We start from the raw sequence: 20,808 nt of genomic DNA, 5'->3' as shown, positions 1-20,808 counted from the left end.
AGACCAGCAAGGGCACTGGTGCAAGAATCCCAGGCAGGGTGTGGTGATGAATGAGGGCCTGGCTTAGGACACCCTCCAAACAAATGCATTCCTACTGGATGCTCATGGACAGAGAGGAGAGAGTTGCTTCCAAAAACCCAGGCCAGGAAATAAGAAAAGAAGTTGCTCTTTCCCCTCATGGCATGTGGAATTTTGCTGATGATTTATTGGAATTCTTCCCAAAGCTGGAATGACCCAAATAACTCACTGAAGCCATTCGGAAGGGGTCTGATACTAGAGTTTGCTTTAAGAAGTCAGCTCTGCAGAGAGTACCTGGAGGTAATTTGTTGTGGTTGGAAAGACAGATAAAGATATTTTCCAAAATTTTATTCTGGGAGCAGAGTGCATTAGTGCTGAACAGCACTTAAAACTCAGTTCTCTAGCTGACAACAGGCAAAATGAATTGCTGTCCCACTGAGCTGTTAACTAAATACTTACAACTTCTAACCCAGTGGTCTTCAGACTATAGGATGCATCCAAATCAATTGAGGTATCTGGCAAAATGCAGACTCCTGCTCCTCCTGCAAGATTCTAATTCCTACAGCTGGCGAGGAGACCTGAGATCTACATTTCCAAACAAGTCCCTCCCCTAGGAGATTCAGATGCAAGTAGTCAAGGCCCTTGCTTTAAAAATCATTACCATATAAAGCTCAACCATCACACATACACACACAGTTATCTTGGTCTTTGTCTTTTCAAGGTTCTGCGTTAATCACTTTGAGGGGTTCCGAGGTACAGAAGCTGAGTCCTTATCCTCACATTGTCTCGGAGGTGAGCTGGGCATTTCATGGAGACAGTGTCAAGAGCTCTAAAATGGGCAGGAAAAAAAATGCCAGGTTGGTTCAAGGAAGGGAGAGAGCTTATTTACTATTCCAATTGTCTTTATGAGACCAGCTGCAGAGGTAGTCTAGAGGTAGAGAAATAACAAGACTTATTATAATTGTTGAAAGCAATGCAGACTATGCCTTAGCAAAGCCTTTCACAGGCATCCTTTGAAAAGCACCATGTTCTATGAGAGCTCATTAAATAAGAAAGAACAAGAATGGCCCATGGGCAACTCAAAGAGTAAATCAGTGTAGTGGTTTCCTCTACTGCATATAACCCTGGGCCACGATAATTCTCCTTGACTCAGCTGGCAGCAATCACAGAAATAAGCTTCTTTGACTTCCATCCATAGCTGTGGCAACTGGAGCCTGAGAGGTGAAAGCCCCTAACCAGGTCGTCTAGACTGTGGATCAGGTGCCAGAGTTCTTTCCCAGCTCCTACAGGCCAGGGGTGGAAGGAGCTTGAACAGACCTTGTTCCTGCTAGTCCCTTGCTCTCTGTCATCTTCTGATGGCTCCAGTTAGAACACTGAATGCCTACTTTAGGTACTCAAAAAGCACTTCTCCTTCTTAGCACATTTCTCTGTGTGGTTTTATAGTGGTGATACTGTACAAGCTAACACTTTTGAGCACTTACTAGGTGCCAGGCATTGATCTAAGTGATTTTTATATACTCCTGACAACCCTATTAATATATCCATGTTACTCTTATTTATTTTTAATTAATTATTTATTTTGAAAATCAATAAATATTGTATACATTTATGGCTTACAACATGGTCTTAACATATGTATGCATTGTGGAATGTCTAAATCAAGCTAGTTAGCATATGCATTGGGCAAGGCAGCCCTAAAGCCCATGCTTATATCCACCATGCTGTATTACTTCTATTGTGACCCAAGTCAGTCTCCCCTACCAGACTGTAACCTCTGGGAGAACAGGAACAATGTCTATCTTGGTCACTGCTGTATTTCCTGTACCTGACAAAAAATAGACGTTCAAGAAATGTTTGTTAAATGAATGAACAACTGACACTGATAAAAATTTTTCCGTGCTGTATTTGGAACCAGTATACCTGAGACTCAGTCCGTTTTCACCATTAATTTCTATAACCTTCATTAAGACTTTGCTAGTTTCAGGACCTCAGTCTTAACATCAGTAGGATAAAGATGGTGCTTTCTAAGGGACCTGCCATATACGATAGTCTAGAATCTTCTTTCCCATCACTAAATCCAAGCCTCCAGGCAGTTCTTGAATAAGGCCAACCCAAACCCATGGCATGATCTTGCCCCTGGCCCTGAGCCCTTTCAGGTATGCCCCAAATCTTGGTATTATGTTCAAATGTATGGGATAATAAGGTAGGTAGGAGAGAGAGGAAGAGGTTAAAAATGTGGGAAGTTGGGAAAAGGAGAGATTCTTGAGAAGTTTGGAGCTAGAGAAAGAGAACAAAGAAATATTTGGAGTTTGCTGGTCATTTGCAAAAAGAATCCATCCTCATAGGTGTTTTTGGCCAGAGAATAAATTATCAAGCAGACTCTACCTATATGGTAATCAAATACTCTGCATACTAATGGTGCTTCTAAGGCAGGTATAGCAGAAAGGACAAGAAACACTTGAAATGCAAAACATTCAGAACTCCAAGACCAAAGATCAATCATTCCAGATCCCAGAAGATAAGCCAAAGTTGCCTCGCAGCTTGATCTGGGGTTAGCCTAACAATCAAATGAATATAAGACTTTGGCCCCTAGGGACTCAGAGAGGGAGGCAAAGTTCTGGGGTCCAGCTGGCCCAGGCCAGAGGGTGTTGGAATGATCTAGGGAAGATGGAGGCTAGCTTTCCTAGCTCCTTAAAGAAGAGGGGGAAATAAGGGAGCTCAAATTTAAAAGATATACAGCCTTATGATATGAAAATTATTCCCCCACCTTACAGATGAGGAAACTGAGATTCTGAAAAGTGAAATAACTTGCCCCAAATCACACAGTAGTGGAGCCCAGAATTAAAGCCAGGCCTGTGTAACTGAAAGCCCCCTCTCTCTCAGCTTCAACAGGCTCCTCTGCTTAAGCCCTCTTTGACTAATCCTTAATGGCTAATTAGTTGTCCCATCATTAAAAGGAATCAGAGAAAGGCAAAGGAATGGGGCTCCCATGACCTGCTGACCCTGTTGTGTCATTAAAAGGAGATAGCTTTGAGTCGAAACTTGGTGGGTTTCTTCTATATGAGTCTCATTTTATCCAGCATCCTCTTGCTTCCAAGACCCTCCCCTCCACTCGACCCCACACACACAAATCCTTATTACTTATATTTTTCTGTTTTAAGAAAATAAGTTAATATTTATAAAGTTCTTAGAACAGTACCTGACATATATAATTACTATAAGAATGTTTGTTAAGTAAACTAGAGCAAACATTATCATTAAAAATTCCAGATAATGCAAAAATATAAAGAGAATTAAGAAAATCACATATAATCCCACACTAGAAAACCCATAACTAAAATTTTGATGTAGGTGCAGGTGTAGGTTTCTTTATCGTGTACAAAGAAACATTTTTTAATGAAAAAGAAAGATTATTTTATGCATATTGTTTTTGTATCCTTATTTTCTCACAGTAATATGCTGAGGACATCGTTTAATGCCAGTAAATACAGATTTACATTATCATTTTTAACACATCCGTAATATTCATTGGTGTGGATACACCAATAGTATAGTTAACTAAATTCCACTGACAAATATTTCAATTATTTCTAATATGTTGTTTTTGTAAACAAGACTGTAACAAAAACCTTGATAAAAACAAGCTCTCCTTGTGATAGCTCTTTGCATCCTTCATGCATTCCTCCAGATCACCCTGCAGAAAGTTTGCACCATTCTAATGGACAATAAATTTCTCTGATTAATAGTTTGATTGAATATATTTTCAAATCTTTATTAACTTTTGATCTCTTTTCCATTCATGTTCTTTGCTCGTTTTTCTTTTTCTTATAGATTTTTAAGAACTTTTCTACATTGAAATGATTAACTCTTTCGTCATGTATGATGCAAAATATTTTTTGCAATTTGTTGTTTCAGTGGGCTGTGCAAAAGTTTTGGATTTATGTGTAACAGAATCTGTCAATATCTTGCATTATAGTTCTTGTCTTTAAGAAAAAAATGCCTTCTGCCCTTCAAGAGTGTAAAAATATTCACTTATATGTTCTTCTACATATCTATGGTTTTATTTTTCACATTTAAATATCTTCCCGACTTAGAATTTGCCATGGTGTATTTCCAGGGACTTTAAACCAACCCTTCAAATCTTTGACATTAAATTTCTAACATACTCTTTTCTTGAATGAGGAAAAATGAGGACTTCTGTATCTCTGAAGAAAAACTGTAATATAGAAACTGACCAGCATTTGAGCCTATCATTCAAAGACTTGTAGTACTTTTCTCAGAATGGCATTTCTTTTTTTTTCCACTATTTATTTATTTTTTTATTTTATTATACTTTAAGTTTTAGTGTACATGTGCACAACGTACAGGTTAGTTACATGTGTATACATGTGCCATGTTGGTGTGCTGCACCCATTAACTCATCATTTAACATTAGGTATATCTCCTAATGCTATCCCTCCCCACTCCCCCCACCCCACAACAGGCCTCGATGTGTGATGTTCCCCTTCCTGTGTCCATGTGTTCTCATTGTTCAATTCCCACCTATGAGTGAAAACATGCGGTGTTTGGTTTTTTGTCCTTGCCATAGTTTGCTGAGAATGATGGTTTCCAGCTTTATCCATGTCCCCACAAAGGACATGAACTCATCAGTTTTTATGGCTGCATAGTATTCCATGGTGTATATGTGCCATATTTTCTTAATCCAGTCTATCATTGTTGGACATTTGGCTTGGTTCCAAGTCTTTGCTATTGTGAATAGTGCCGCAATAAACATACTTGTGCATGTGTCTTTATAGCAGCATGATTTATAATCCTTTGGGTATATACCCAGTAATGGGATGACTGGGTCAAATGGTATTTCTAGTTCTAGATCCCTGAGGAATCGCCACACTGAGTTCCACAATGGTTGAACTAGGTTACAGTCCCACCAACAGTGCAAAAGTGTTCCTATTTCTCCACATCCTGTCCAGCACCTGTTGTTTCCTGACTTTTTAATGATCACCATTCTAACTGGTGTGAGATGGTATCTCATTGTGGTTTTGATTTGCATTTCTCTGATGGCTAGTGATGATGAGCATTTTTTCACGTGTCTGTTGGCTGTATAAATGTCTTCTTTTGAGAAGTGTCTGTTCATATCCTTTGCCCACTTTTTGATGGGGTTGTTTGTTTTTTTTCTTGTAAATTTGTTTGAGTTCACTGTAGATTCTGGATACTAGCCCTTTGTCAGATGAGTAGACTGCAAAAATTTTCTCCCATTCTGTAGATTGCCTGTTCACTCTGATGGTAGTTTCTTTTGTTGTGCAGAAGCTCTTTAGTTTAATTAGATCTCATTTGTCAATTTTGGCTTTTGCTGCCATTGCTTTTGGTGTTTTAGACATGAAGTCCTTGCTTTTGCCTGTGTCCTGAATGGTATTGCCTAGGTTTTCTTCTAGGGTTTTTATGGCTTCAGGTGTAACATTTAAGTCTTTAATCCATCTTGAATTAATTTTTGTATAAGATGTAAGGAAGGGATCCAGTTTCAGCTTTCTACATATGGCTAGCCAGTTTTCCCAGCACCATTTATTAAATAGGGAATCCTTTCCCCATTTCTTGTTTTTGTCAGGTTTGTCAAAGATCAGATGGTTGTAGATATGTGGCATTATTTCTGAGGCCTCTGTTCTGTTCCATTGGTCTATATCTCTGTTTTGGTACCAGTACCATGCTGTTTTGGTTACGGTAGCCTTGTCGTATAGTTTGAAGTCAGGTAGCGTGATGCCTCCAGCTTTGTTCTTTTGGCTTAGGATTGACTTGGCAATGCAGGCTCTTTTTTGGTTCCATATGAACTTTAAAGTAGTTTTTTCCAATTCTGTGAAGAAAGTCATTGGTAGCTTGATGGGGATGGCATTGAATCTATAAATTACCTTGGGCAGTATGGCCATTTTCATGATATTGATTCTTCCTACCCATGAGCATGGAATGTTCTTCCATTTGTTTGTATCCTCTTTTATTTCATTGAGCAGTGGTTTGTAGTTCTCCTTGAAGAGGTCCTTCATATCTCTTGTAAGTTGGATTCCTAGGTATTTTATTCTCTTAGAAGCAATTGTGAATGGGAGTTCACCCATGATTTGGCTCTCTGTTTGTCTGTTATTTGTGTATAAGAATGCTTGTGATTTTTGCACATTGATTTTTGTATCCTGAGACTTTGCTGAAGTTGCCTATCAGCTTAAAGAGATTTTGGGCTGAGACAATGGGGTTTTCTAGATATACAATCATGTCATCTGCAAACAGGGACAATTTGACTTCCTCTTTTCCTAACTGAATACCCTTTATTTCCTTCTCCTGCCTGATTGCCCTGAGAATGGCATTTCTTTTCACAGAAATGCTATTCTGCCTCTTTGTCTACCAGAGCTACTCCTTTGCTAAATACTAAATGCTACTATTGATTGTAGAGCCTGCTCACCTTCGTTAACAAAGAGTTTCACCAACTTGAAGACTTTTTTTTCCGACTTGGTTGATCACTCCTACTGAAGATACTGAGCTTCTTTTATTTGTTTATTTATTTATTTAGAGACAGGGGCTCACTCTGTTGCCCAGGCTGGAATGCAATGGCATGATCACTGTTCACCACAGCCTTGGCCTCCTGGGCTCAAGTGATTCTCTCACCTTAGCCTCCCCAGTAGCTGGGACTACAGGCACATGCCACTATGCCCAGCTAATTTTTTATTTTTTGTAGAGACAGAGTCTTACTATGTTGCCCAGGTCAGTCTTCAACTCCTGGGCTCAAGTGATCCTCCTGCCTCAGCCTCCCAAAGTGCTAGGATTACAGGCATGAGCCATCACACCCAGCCGGCCTCTTTATTAAGAAGCAAATATGTTGGAGCAGAGAGGGAAGGAGTGCAAGTAACAGATCATATGGCTAAGGAGAATCTATTAAAATTTGGCATGGGTAGTAGGTGGGGAGTAAAAAAGAAATGAGTGACAAGCGAGAGAGCTTTTTAGAACTTACCTTTGGGGAGCAGAAGCCAGAGTGAATAGAGTCCAGCAATTGCCAAAAGCAATGATGTAGAAATGCTGAAAAGTATTAACTCAGGAGTTTGGAACCTGGAATTCTGGTCCCAGTTCTTCCAACATGTGGCTCAGACATGCATCCTCCATTTCTCTAGGTCTTGATTTCTTTATCTGTAAAGCAGTGTAGGGGTGCGTGAAGGGGTTGTGTGTGGGGTTGATTAGATTCAATTCAGTGGACATTTAATTGGATAGCAATTATGGGCTAGACACTATTCTAAGTACTTGGTTAACTCTAATTTCTTCCAGCTCAGCAATTCTATGAGGGTTGTTTTGTTCATATTTCTTGAGTATTGTGAGGAACATTAAAATTTTCCAGAAGTTGGACCTTCTGGAATTATCTAGCACAAGAACTGAGTAGGGTCTCTCTTCAGTTCCAGAAAGATAGGAGGGTAGGTAGAGCAGGTGTGGGGAGGAATTTGGATGGAATAAGAAAGAAGCAATCAATTGGATCAAATATGTGTACCTTGCCTGTGGGTCTGTTTTGAAATACACATAATGACTACCATCTCCAACTTTTCCAGCAGGCTAGGTGTTTGAGGCTTTTCTCCCACAAGAGGATTTCATCACTTATTTACTCTTCCATTAATGAAGTAAACATTGACTGAGGCAGCATGTGCAAGGCACTGTCGGCTTTTGTTTCTGCTCATTGGCTTTTCATTGAGCTTTAGCATTAGGGCCCTAGTTAATTGCTTGCTTTATTTTATTTTATTTAGAGATGGAGTCTGTCTCTGTCACCCAAACTGGAGTGCAGTGGTGTAATCATAGGTCACTGCAGTCTCAAATTCCTGGGCTCAAGCAATCTTCTCACCTTAGCCTCCTGAGTAGCTGGGATCTCAGGCATGTTCCACCACTTACAGCTAATTTATTTTGTTTTATTTTCTTTTTAGAGATAGAGTCTCACTATGTTGCCCAGGCTGGTCTTGAACTTTTGGGCTCAAGTTTTCTTCCCACTTCAGCCTCTTAAATACTTGGGATTGCAGGTACAAGCCACCACACCCAGCTTGCTTGCTTGAAATGCTATCCTGCCTCTTTGTCTACAAGAGCTACTCCTTTAGGCCAAAGTATACATTTTCAAAGTTGCTTCAGCCCCTGCAAATATTTTTGACAATTATGAGATTGTATTTAAATACCCATGCATACCCCATAAATATATACACCTACTATGTACCCACAAAGTTTTCTTTTAATTTTTAATTACAAATAAATAAATATTCATGCCACCCTGTTTATGCCCCATGCTCCATTAGTATACTGACATCTGAGACTACATGTTTTGTTCTTTACTGCCTTTTAAATCATTTTCCCCTAAGAATTATTGGGCATCTTTATAATTGTCTTTCCTTTTCTGTGCCACATTCCATGTCTTCTGACGTGTCTATATTCATAAGATAATCTGAGCGTTCCATCTCTACTTCCTTCCATTTTTTTACTCTCAATTTTTTTATGATTCTGGGCATCCATTCTTTGACTTAGCATTTATAGAAGCCCTGCCCAGTGTGTACACTGTTGCAAGTACAGCAAATATGACAAGGAGAAAACTAATAAGGTCCCTCCCCTTCATGCAACTCCATTCTATCGGGGGAAAACGACAGTCAACAAGTAATTGAACAGCACTAATTTATCAGCACTTGAATAAACTGCCATGGAGGAGAATGGAGTTATCTTGAAATATTCAAATATCTAGCCATAGTCAGAGATATAGAAAATCTACTCTTTCCCAACACCAAATACATTTCCACATGTGACTCTCTCTTCCTTTAAGCTTGAAGAACTAATGAAAACAGTATCCATGTCCCTAGTCTTCATATTAAGTCCAGATTGTACTCTACTCCCTAAAGCTCCCATTGCTGCTGTGGCAATTAAGATGCCATCCAGAAGGAAATTAGTTCTGGAGCAGTGATGGCTCCTGCCCAAACCTCAGCCAGGCCCTTGCTAGGAGCTGTCTCGAAGGCCAGTCTGAGCAGGCTTGGCCTGTCTCCCTCCACTGGGACAGCTATACTCATCTCTTCTCCCCTGACTCAGTCTCCTCTTCTCCCCATCTTCCCTCCTGGTCCCTTATGGTAGCCCAGCCTTATCTCACCTCGCAGCTCCTCATCTTGCCAGATACATGAGCCCCTTTGCCCTTCTCCCATGACCTCCCAAAAATGTTACTGTTCTTCATGCATCAAGCACCCTCTCACTCTTCTTCTCACTCTTCTTACAGGAGCCAAAGCAATAGTGTCTTGAGAAGACACTATTTTTGAGAAGAAATAGGCATGAAAGTGTCCTTTCAAGTTAATAATTATGGAGGTCATTGGTGACTTGTCTAAAACAACTGCATGGGATTGTACAGGACTGAGGAACTGGAATTGAGGTAGTAGAGAAGATGACTGTATATAACTTTTTTGAGAAGTTTGTGAAAGGGGAAGAGAGAGCTTGGGTAGTAGCTAAAAGTGTGTGTGAAATTAAGGAGAGTGGTTGTTTCTGTAAGACAGGAGAGACTTGAGCATGTTTAAATGCTGTTTGGAAAAATCTGGTAGAAAGAAGAGAAAATACAAGAGTGCAAAGATGATTCAATGAGTGAGTTCTTGAGGACTGGGATCCAGGGAATATGTCCCAGGATTGGATTAGACAGAAGGAAGGAAATTTCTTCTGTTATAAGTGGACTGAAGGAGATGGGTACACATGCTTGTAGGCTTAGGGGCTGGAAATTGAGGAAATTCCCACCTGGTGGCATCTATTTTCTCTGTGAAGTAAGATGCCAGGTAATCTAAAGAGGAAATAGCGGGGAGTGGTTGAAGGCTTGCAAAAGATGAACTTTTTGTTTTGTTTCTAGAGACAGGGTCTCACTATGTTGCCCTGGCTGCATTTGAACTCCTGGGCTCAAGTGATTCTCCTGGCTCAGCCTCCCAAGTAGCTGGGACTACAGCCATGTACCACCACACCCAGCTCAAAAAACTGAATGTTTAAAGAGATAATTATAAAGAATGGAAGAGCAAAGGACATTAGAAGAACAGTCCTGGTTGAGGTTGGTGAATATATACCAGTACCCATCTGTGTATGATGTGGGTTTTTTCCCCAGTATCACTCATCGGCTTAAAGGCAAGCCCAGAGAAAACTTAGGTTGGGTTCACCTAAGTCTAGAATTTTTCAGTGTACTGCAACAGATCAGTAATGGAGTGAGGGAGCTGAGAAAGTTGGTAAAAAAAGTAGGTGAATTCAGGGCTGCCACTAGGGTGTGCAGAGCGCTACACAAATATTTTTGTGGGCTCTTCGCTATACGAACAATTTAGTGAAAACATGTATTGTAAAATTCATGGGCTCAAATGAGCTATAGTGATTTGTTGATGAAGATTTAGCATAATAAGGGCAGAGGAGGTACTTAGCTGTTTGTTTACTGTGCCATTAGTGCTTGTGAAGTTTCCCTATAGGGTTCAGGTTCCACATCTTCTTGCCTGGGCTCAGCAAGCATGTCTTTATGTTCCTAATTGTCTAATGCACCACACATGACTAAGGTGATATCTCCCACTGAGAAGAAAAGAGAGCATCACTGTTGTTGCTCAGTGTGCCATGGCTCTTGAGCACCTACTTGTACTGAAACAGTCTAGATCTTCTTGCCTCTACAGGCCCCTGATACCCTTAAGTTCATTCAGGCTACACCAAGACCCATGACACTGCCATTATCCACCAGGCTGCCTGTGAATATCAGCTCCCTGTGGACTCTCAGACGTTGTTACTGTGCTTCACTGATGAGCACAAAGGCACACCTTCTCCAGAGTGTGCAGGAAAATGTGAACAATATATCATTTTATGGTCATGTTCAGTATACCATTTGGCACTTTATAGCACACATGTAGAATGACACATCTTCCAAACATGTTCTCTCTTGAACCCCATAGGCCATAATCACATCCATCTCTTTCTATGTTGACTGGACCCTTACATTCTACACACCACCACCAGCAGGGAGGATGGACTAGGGGCCCATTAGTGGAGTGAGAAGAGGGGTACCATTCATGTAAGGAATGTCTGTCCATCTTCTGGCAGGGAATAAGATCAACTTTGGAGAGCATGGCATCACCATATTGATCACAGGCAAGAGAAGATATTAATCAGAGAGCTCTGTTGGTGATGAAAACCAATGATCTCAAAAGCTCTCAGAGGAGACAGGTAACCTCCAGAAGACAGCTTGACAAGTGGCATGAAGCCTGCAGAGGAGGTGGAATAACACCCTGGGTGCCAGTAGTGGTAAGTGGGGGTGGAGGAGGCACACAGGTTAAATAATACCTGCCACCACCTCCCCCAACCATTGAGTGCTGTAGACAGAAAGTGGGACCACGGTCTGATGTGCATATGTGGCACAAGCCCAGGGGTTACTGGTGAATGATTAGGAGCCATTGTGAGTAAGAATCACACCAAATCAGCATGTCATCTCTATTCTGGCAGCCTACTTTTCCCCTATGCTACCAAGGAAATATTGCACCAGTCAACAGAGGTATCTTCTCACCGGGCCTACCACCTGGAACCATGGCGCAGCCATTAAGTCTTGGGACAACCCTATAGGTGTAGATGTCCAGAGCTCCTTGTGGCATCTGATCAACCCCACATGTGGGATATAGGGTCTGAGAGTTCTGTGGAAGGGAAGACGTGGGGATGGAGGTCCATGAGGGTCTTGGTTCAGGCTCAAGGTGCTCTGCCTGGCCAGCACTGCTGTCCTTGAGTAGTCCAAGGCATGGGACAAGGGGGACTCAGAAAATGTTTTGAGGGCTCTCCAAAGCATGGTGCTTCTTGAAACATGAGGCCAGAGCAGGGTTCTTCTTGCCGCAGACTAAGAACAGTACTGGATGAAGTGATGGACCATGTGGGGTCTAAGCTGGGGAGGGAGGGAAGGGAAGACAGGAGGATACCAATGGATAGGAAAACTGAAGGATCATTGCTTTAAAGTACTGATATAGTTGAATAACTGATAAACTGAGAATAAATACATTAGCAAGCTGGAAGTTGAGGAGATCAGGTAGTACATAAGCCATATGAATTTGTGATTTCAAAAGTACAGCAGGTATAAGTGATAACTTCCAGAGTCACCATGGCTGTGATGGAGTATATGAGAGCACTGGAGATGAGGTCAGGAAGCTGACACCAAGGTGCTGGGGGATTCATTCTCATAGATGCCAAGGTCATTCAAGATGAGAGCAATGTTTGGGTTGGAAAGGAAGACTGTAAGAAAGAGGCCGGATGTGTTAAGGAATGAGGGGAGGCACTGAGGAGGGCAGTAGGGCTTCCAAGTTTCATAGCCCCAGGTTAATGGTTCTAAAGAGAAGATACTACCTTCTGTTCACTCATTTAATAAGCATTTATAAAGTGCCTAAGATAGATATATAAACAAGGCATTATAATTTCTCTCCCACTTGATTTTGTATTTATTGAGTGCAGGGACCTAATTAAATGCTTGTGAAATGACAAAATAAACATCAGACACTCTCGCAGTGTCGACAGTTTAAAGAAAATAATAAGATGTAAGATGCTCACAGTGTAGTAGAAGAGAAAAAAGATAATGGCTCACATTTATCTAGATCTTAGCATGTGCAGAGTGTATTCCCGTACGTTACATCTTTGGAACCTACCAATCATTCTGCACTATAGACAAGCCAGGGATTAGTATCTACATTTTACATATGAGAAAACAGGCTCAGAAACATGAAGTGACTCACCCAAGGCCACAGGGTTCACAAGCATCAGAGGCAGGATTCCAAGTTCTCGCTTCCTGCCATTTGCCTAATTGGCATTGCTTTGTCACCACCATGGAATACCTCTTTCTCAATGGCATGAACATCACACTGTGAGGAGGACTGTCTGGGTTTGGGTCCCCTCTCCACTTTTCCTTTGTAAAGCAATTTTCTCAAACACTTCCCACAATTACTTTGCCCAGCAGTTTTTGAACAAAGGAATATAGCACGTTTCATTTGAGAGTAACCTCAGCCTCCATTCGAAGTCTAGAAAACACATAATAAAACTGCCCTGAACTCTCTTGCTTTGAGTCTCATTTTTCTTAGTTTTTTTTTTCCCCTCCTAAACTGCCCGTGTTAACCACACATGGTGCATTTAGCAAAGTGCTGCCCACAGAACAGGCATTGAAAGCACAGGCTTTAGAGGTTGCGAAGCAACGTACGGTATTTAGAAAAAAAAAAAATGCACGTCCATAGGAAAGTTTGCCTTTCACTGAACCAAGTGTTTCCTCTTACATTCCCCTGGACCTGCTTTCAAACTCTGTCCTTTGTTGCTTTACAAAAAGATTGTTTCTTCATTAGCCTTTAAACCCTGCTGATAATAGACTCTGGAATTCCTTAAGAGCTGTGCGATGGGGAGGGGAATGAGGCAGGTGGGTGGTTGCACTGTTAGCATCTTATCAAGGCATTCCCATTCTTGTTCTGTGTTTTCCAGTAACTAATATCCTATAAAAGCAAATGATTCATCAGTATCTTGGTCTGATATTTCCTATGTGGATTAGGTAAAAAAATCCCTCAAATTTGTAGTTGTCAGTCCAAATAGGTTCTTTCTCTAAGCTTCAAAGTTACACTCCAGTGTCACTTCCCAAGTGGACTTACGAAGAATTCTCCAGGAACGATAGGGGTTTATTTGAATAAGCAGAGTCTTGGCACTCTTTATTAGGGCACTCATGGCTGGCCTGCTGCAGTGGCCTCCTAACTGGATGGCTCTTCTCCATTCTCAGCCCCTCTCTTCATCCACCAGGTGCATCCTGCTTGAGCTACTTCCCAAGGGTCACTTTTGAAAGCTCCCCCATTGCCTATAGAATGATATATAAGTTTCTTAATCTGGCACACAGGGCTGTCTTTAAACTGACTTGCTTCTACTCTGCCCTTGCCTCACCCCATAGGTTTTCATGTTCAAAACCCCTATTCTACCTCATGGGTCTAGTCGCTGACCTAAAAGCGCCAAGCCAGAATTCCTTCATGTCTGTCTGGAAGGCCCTTGGATTTGGACTGAGGAATGATCCAATCCACTGCCAGTGCCTCAGCAATGTGCTGGTTTCCCTTGCTCTCCATCCTGACTGAGGGTCCGTTGAAGGAAGTATGGGATTTTTCAGAGAAAGATGCTAACTAGGTAACTTAAAGAAAATAATGCAGACCAAATGAAAGAGCAGAGCAACAATGGAATTCACAGAAGGCAGGTGTCTGATTCTAACTTTAGTGATTTGCCCCCAGTCTTGTCTGGAAGAGCTCATGAGGGTACTCAACCTCTCAGGCCCTTTGCTTTGGGTTGGATGCTGGAGGCCAGTGAGGGGACCAAAATATTTGACCAAGCAACCTAGAGTAGATTCAGACTATGGCATCTGCCGGATGTGGTGGGCCCATAAATCAGTTCTTGCATTGAGATCTGCTCTTCAGCTGTGTGTCCCTGGCTCTAGATTACCCCTAACTTTCATTTCTCACTGATACTTTCATTTGCAAGAATCCTGATTCTTGGAGCTTCCTCTCATATATAGACCCACGGAGAGAAAGATTCTTCTCTGATTAACCAAAACTTTTCATAGTGAACATGCAGATGAGCACTTTGTCGTGGTCCCACTGACTAAGGGAACCACTATTCTATAGTAGTAACCAAGCTAAAACCAAGAGGTTTCTCTCTGTGTCTCTCTTTTTCTCTCTCTTTCTGTATGTATGTGTGTGTATGTGTGTGTGTGTGTGTAATTAGCTTGCTTTTCTGTCAGACTCATCATAGCTGGCATTATGGGCCCCGCCATGCAGCCTCCAAGGTAGGTTTCTGAATGGTCCCCAAGCAGACTGTCCAAAAGGTCCCCAAGCAGACTGTCCTTAGCTTTGGCTTGGTCTCACAGCCTGAGAGGCTGAGCCTGCTGGTGCTGTCTGTATACAGAACAGCGCCATGACCTCTGAGGCGCTCCTGAAAGGGAAGTACCTGCATCTTGGTGCATGAATTATGCAGCATTCATTTTTTATTACTGAGATATTTGATTTAAAGAGGTGGAGATTGTCAGGCTGGGCGTGGTGGCTCACACTTGTAATCCCAGCACTTTGGGAGGCCGAGCCGGGCAGATCATTTGAGGTCGGGAGTTCGAGGCCAGCCTGACCAACATGGAGAAACCCTGTCTCTCTAAAAATACAAAATCAGCTGGGCGGGTTGCCCATGTCTGTAATCCCAGCTACTTAGGAAGCTGAGGCAGGAGAATAGCTTGAACCGGGAGGCAGAGGTTACGGTGAGCTGAGATCCAGCCATTGCACTCCAGCCCAGGCAACAAGAGTGAAACTCCGTCTCAAACAAACAAACAAAAAAAGAGGTGGAGATCGTTAAGTATTTTTGTTTTTCTTCCTTGTTTTTTCTTGACTATGTTATGGAAAGTGGAAGTTGTTGGATTAGGGATTAAGTGAGTTGTCATCCAGACAATTAGAGCTTGCTCCAACAAGTCTTTACCTTGCTCCATTCTATCTCAAAAATGATTAATTTAAACAAATTAAATAACAAATATTTTTCTTTAAAGTTTTGACTCTATTCCACCACAGAAATTATATGTCACTTGATTTCAGAGAGTCAGAGTTCACAGAATTTGGCTACTACTATTCTCTATGACTTACTGTTTTCAGATTTTCTTCCTATAAGATACTTTAGAACTGAGGGAGAAGATCCATTCCATTGTGTAACATTATATATGTGCCACAGGGCATGAAACTGCTTTTTTTTCTTATATAGAAAGATATTTCTTCAATAAGAGATATATTTAATAATGAAATTATAATATAAACCTGAAAACAGGAAAAACAATAACCCTGGACTCTCAGAAGCAAGAACTGGTAGAAATTTCAGACTCAAAAAAATTTCAGACTCACATAATACAAACCTCTCATTTTACAGAAAAGGGAAATTGAGGCTCCAAGGGGGCTCTTCTTGTCCAATATTGTACAACTAGTTAATGGCAATGCCAGGCCTCACTAAATCTCAGGCAGAGTCTTACCTGCTAAATATGTGAACTAAAAGATTGTCAGATGAAATGATTGGAAGCCTGGGGTTGGCCTCAAACAATCCAGGGCAAGGAAAAGGGGACAAAAAGGGAGTTGGTAGTGGAGAGGAAGCAAGCTTGGCACACATGGATGATTGTTGAGGCTGGATGATGTATAAATGCATAGTCATTATGGTCTCTCTACTGTACATGTTGGGAATTTTCCACAAGAAAAGATTTTTAGGCCGGGTGCAGTGGCTCACACCTGTAATCCCAGCACTTTGGGAGGCCAAGGCGGGCGGATCACCTGAGGTCGGGAGTTCAAGACCAGCCTGACCGACATGGAGAAACCCCATCTCTACTAAAAATACAAAATTAGCCAGGCATGGTGGCGCATGCCTGTAATCCCAGCTACTTGGGAGGTTGAGGCAGGAGAATCACTTGAACCCCAGAGGCAGAGGTTGTGGTGAGCCAAGATCATGCTGTTGCACTCCAGCCTGGGCAATACGAGCAAAACTGCGTCTCAAAAAAAAAAAAAATGTTTTTTAAATGTAGGGTACTTTCAGTCTACCAGGCTATTCCATATAGTACTCGCCACAATATCTTGGAACCGGTAGGTATTCAAATGTGAGTGTTGTTTGACTGGGCTGATGAAGGATAAAGAAAGAGAAACGACCGGGCACAGTGGCTCATGCCTGTTATCCCAGCACTTTGAAAGGCCAAGGCAGGTGGATCGCCTGAGCTCAGGAGTTTGAGACCAGCCTGAGCAACACGGTGAATCCGTCTCTACTAAAATATAAAAAAATTAGCCAGGCGTGGTGGTGTGTGCCTGTAGTCCCAGCTATTTGGGAGGCTAAGGCAGGAGAATTGCTTGAACCTGGGAGGCAGAGGTTGCAGTGAGCCGAGATCGCACCACTGCACTCCAGCCTAGACGAGAGAGCAAGGCTCCATCTCCAAAAAAAAGAAGAAAGAAACAGAAATATATCATGGAGGTTACATTGCTAGCCTCTGCAGGCAGCTCCCTCCTTTGAAGGAGAGCTCATGCTGCTACACAACTGCCAGAGCCTGTTAATTCTGACATTGCACCTTAGTTCTGAAGTAAAATAACACCCCTTTCCTCTCTCTTCTGTTAGTGGCTGTGGTGGGCAGGAGAATGGCCTCCCAAAGATATCTGTGTCCTAATCCCTGGAAGCTGGGAATATGTGAGTTTACACAGCAAATGGGAATTAAGGTAGCAGATAGAATTAAGGTTGCTAATCAGATGACCTTGAGATGAGATCATCTTGAATTACTGAGGTGGGTCCAATAGCATTGCAAGGGTCCTTAAAAATGAAAGCAGGAGGCAGGAGAGCAATCAGGGTCAGAGCCGTGCCATGAGAGAAGGACTCAACAGGCCATTGCTGGCTTTGGAGATAGAGGAAGGGACCACAAGCTAAGGAATGTGGGCAGTCTCGGGATGCTGAAAAATGTATGGAAACAGATTCTCCCATAGAGCCTCCAAAGGGAACACAGTCCTGCCTTGACGTTAGCCCAACGAGACCACGAGACCCAGTTCAGATTTGTGACCTCCAGAACTTTAAGATAATAAATTTCTGTTGTTTTAAGCCACCAAATTTGTAGAAACTTATTACAGCATCAGCAGGAAACTATTACAGTGGCTAAGTTCCACTAATGCTACGTCACTTTCCTGTTTTGATTTTAATTTATGCATGTTATCTTTATGCACTACTACTGTATATTCAACCTCCATTGTCCCATCTTTGCTGCAAGTCCTATATGTCTTTTGTCAACATCACAGTGGTCATAAATGCAAGTGGCAGCAAAGAAATTATTGGGAGTCAAAGTGTTGATGAAATGTTACTTTCAGAGCCCTGCCTGTGCTGCCTGTCTTTCTGTAGTTTTCCCCCATGTGTTAGTTCGTTCTCACACTGCTATAAAGACATACCTGAAACTGAGTAATTTATGAAAAGAGGTTTAATTGACTCACAGTTCCAAACGCTATACAGGAAGCATGGTTGGGTAGGCCTCAGGAAACTTACAGTCACAGCAGAAGGCAAAGTGTAAGCAAGCACCTTCCTCACATGGCAGAACGGGAGAGAGAGAGTGAAGGGGAAGGTGCCACACACTTTTAAACAACCAGATCTCCTGAGAACTCTATCACAAGACGGCACTAGGGAGATGGTGCTAAATCATTAGAAACCACTCCCATAATTCAATCACCTCCCACCAGGCTCCACATCCAACACTAGGGATTACAATTCAACATGAGATTTGGGTGGGGACACAGACCCAAAACATATCACCCTGTGTTCTGTTATCTCCATCTTTGTTAGTTGACATATCTAGTTATGTAGCCATTTTATCTTGGAAGAAAATGCCAACAATGTTCTATTTAATAAAAAACAAACTTTATACTCAGTCTTCAATGTGCTTGCCAAACGTGATGGCCTTAAGGGATTGGAAATGAGGGGAGATATGTTCCTGAAAAATTCAGTGCTCAAATGTATTACAGCTTATCAGTTGTACACTTGTGGGGCAGGCAGATTTTATCAAATTCTGTAGGCAAGGTGTTCAAACTTGACAAGGTAAGTTTGAGATAAAGTGAATTCTCAATAATTTATTTTCAAGTTTTCAAGAGCCATATTTTATTTGTAAATAGTTCCTTTCATGGGAGTAGACTTCCTTCTTTCACCTCAAGAAATCAGACATGTATAATTGATCTTTGGGTGGAAGTTAAGATTCTGAGTCACTCCTTAATATTCTGTAGGATTTACTAAGTTTAGAAGTGTATCATGAAGATGAGAAGTGAGAGAACAGTTTTAAGGCTCTCAAGGTTAGGAGCATTTAGGTGATCTGTCACCAGTTCATGGATTGATATAATTGCAAGACTGGAAAGGACCTTCAGGGAATTCCACAGTAGCTACACCCCTCTGATGCCTGAGGGACATCACTGCCACATTCCCACCAAGGCATGGCCAACCTCTGGCTCACCACATCCAGAGGAAAGGAACTCACTAATCCTGAGGACAATTATCCTACTTATTTGACAAATCTAAAAGTTAGCAAGTTGTTCCTTATATTGAGCCCAAATCTGTTTTCTGGAGGCTTCCGATGTTGCCCTCGTACTACATGTTGTGAGTCCTGTAACCATCCTCTCAAGTGTAGTGGTTGGACAATACACATGCTGTAAAATACATGTATTAAACATTTATTGATGAAGTTCACTGTAATTATCAAGTGATACGACTAACCCCTTGCCGGTTATAGGGAATACATTTTCCCAGAGGTAACATGGTGCAGGATCATCTTCAACTTTGTGCAGGTGGCCCACCTGAGAGATGTTCAAGTCCCAAAAGATGCACCTGATATCCATAGAAGTGTTTCTTTGCTTTTCAACAATTGACTTAATGCAAGTGTTTGCTCTGATTCCTGATAACAGTAGAGAGCTGATCACAGTACCCACAAGGCAAATGTTTGGTCAGTGTTTGGCCCAATGTTTTCCTGCTCCTTCTGTGCTTGACAAGGTGGCCAACATAAGATAAGGTTTGCATGACTGTCTTTTAGAACATGTTCTAGACAGTAGTGTAAAAGAAGACAAAAATATGCTGCAGAGAGGTAGTAACTTGCATGTTAAAATATTGTTTTTAAAAACCAGTTCCATGATTGGTCTACAAAGGGTCCAAAACCCCTGCATATTTTTATTCACAGCCAGAATTTCCATAGCTTTCTGGAAATAAACAGATGCACTAATCTTTTCTCCTGTTCTCTTACATTGAGCCATTATGTCAGCCCAGGAGCTGAGGCTTGAGGATTCACTATCCTGCCTAAAGGTAAAGATTGAAAGAGGATATTATTTCTGTCTGGATTTCTACATTTTTCCTTCCAACCTCAGATGAACTACTTCTCCACTCCTAATCTCAGTCTCTACATCTGTAAAATGAGAAGAATGATCTATACCAGTTTTGTGAGCCTGTTCAGCACTGATACATTCTGCTCCCAGTATAAAATTTTGGAAAATGTCTTTATCTGTCTTTCCAACCCCTACAAATTACCTCCATGTACTCTCTGCAGAGTTGACTTCTTAAAGCCAACTCCAGTATCAGACCCCTTCCGCATGGCTTCAGTGAGTTATTTGGGTCATTCCAGCTTTGGGAAGAATTCCAATAAATCATCAGCAAAATTCCACATGCCATGAAGGGAAAGAGCAACTTCTTTTCCTCCTTCCTGGACTCAGTTTTTGGAAGTGACTCTCTCCACTCTGTCCATGTGCACCCAGTAGGAATGCATTTGGATGGAGAGTATCCCGGGTTAGCCCCTCATTCATCACCACACCTTCCCTGGGGCTCTTGCACCAGTGCCCTTGCTGGTCTCCCCAACCCCAGGTTCGTTCCTCCTCTCCTCTTTGATGAGGTAAATGCTCCCACCAGACCAAAGTTCTTATTATGCTTCTACCCTGGGCTATCCAGCCTCCCTTGCCTTTCCATTAATCTCTTAGCACAGAAAGCCCAAGGCCCTGATTACTACCTCTGGTATTGAAGGCCCCCAGTAACTTGGCCCTGTCCTCCCTGGCCTTAATGTGCATTCCCTACAAGCACCCTGTGCTCTAGTTCAGTGTTTCTCAAAGTATGGTCCTGGGACTACTGTCTTCCTACTGAAAAAGAAATGCTCAGGGTGAAACCCGAAAATATGCACGTTAAATCTGCTCCCTGAGTAATTCTTATACATACTAAAGTTGGTGAACTACTTCTATAAACCACTTACTCTCCAGTTCTCTGTCACCAACATTTAAGTCT

This window comes from Homo sapiens, chromosome X, assembly GCF_000001405.40.
Source record: "Homo sapiens chromosome X, GRCh38.p14 Primary Assembly".
Lineage (NCBI taxonomy): Eukaryota > Metazoa > Chordata > Mammalia > Primates > Hominidae > Homo > Homo sapiens.
The sequence above is the reverse complement of the archived record's forward strand: the minus strand, read 5'-3'. Positions refer to the sequence as shown.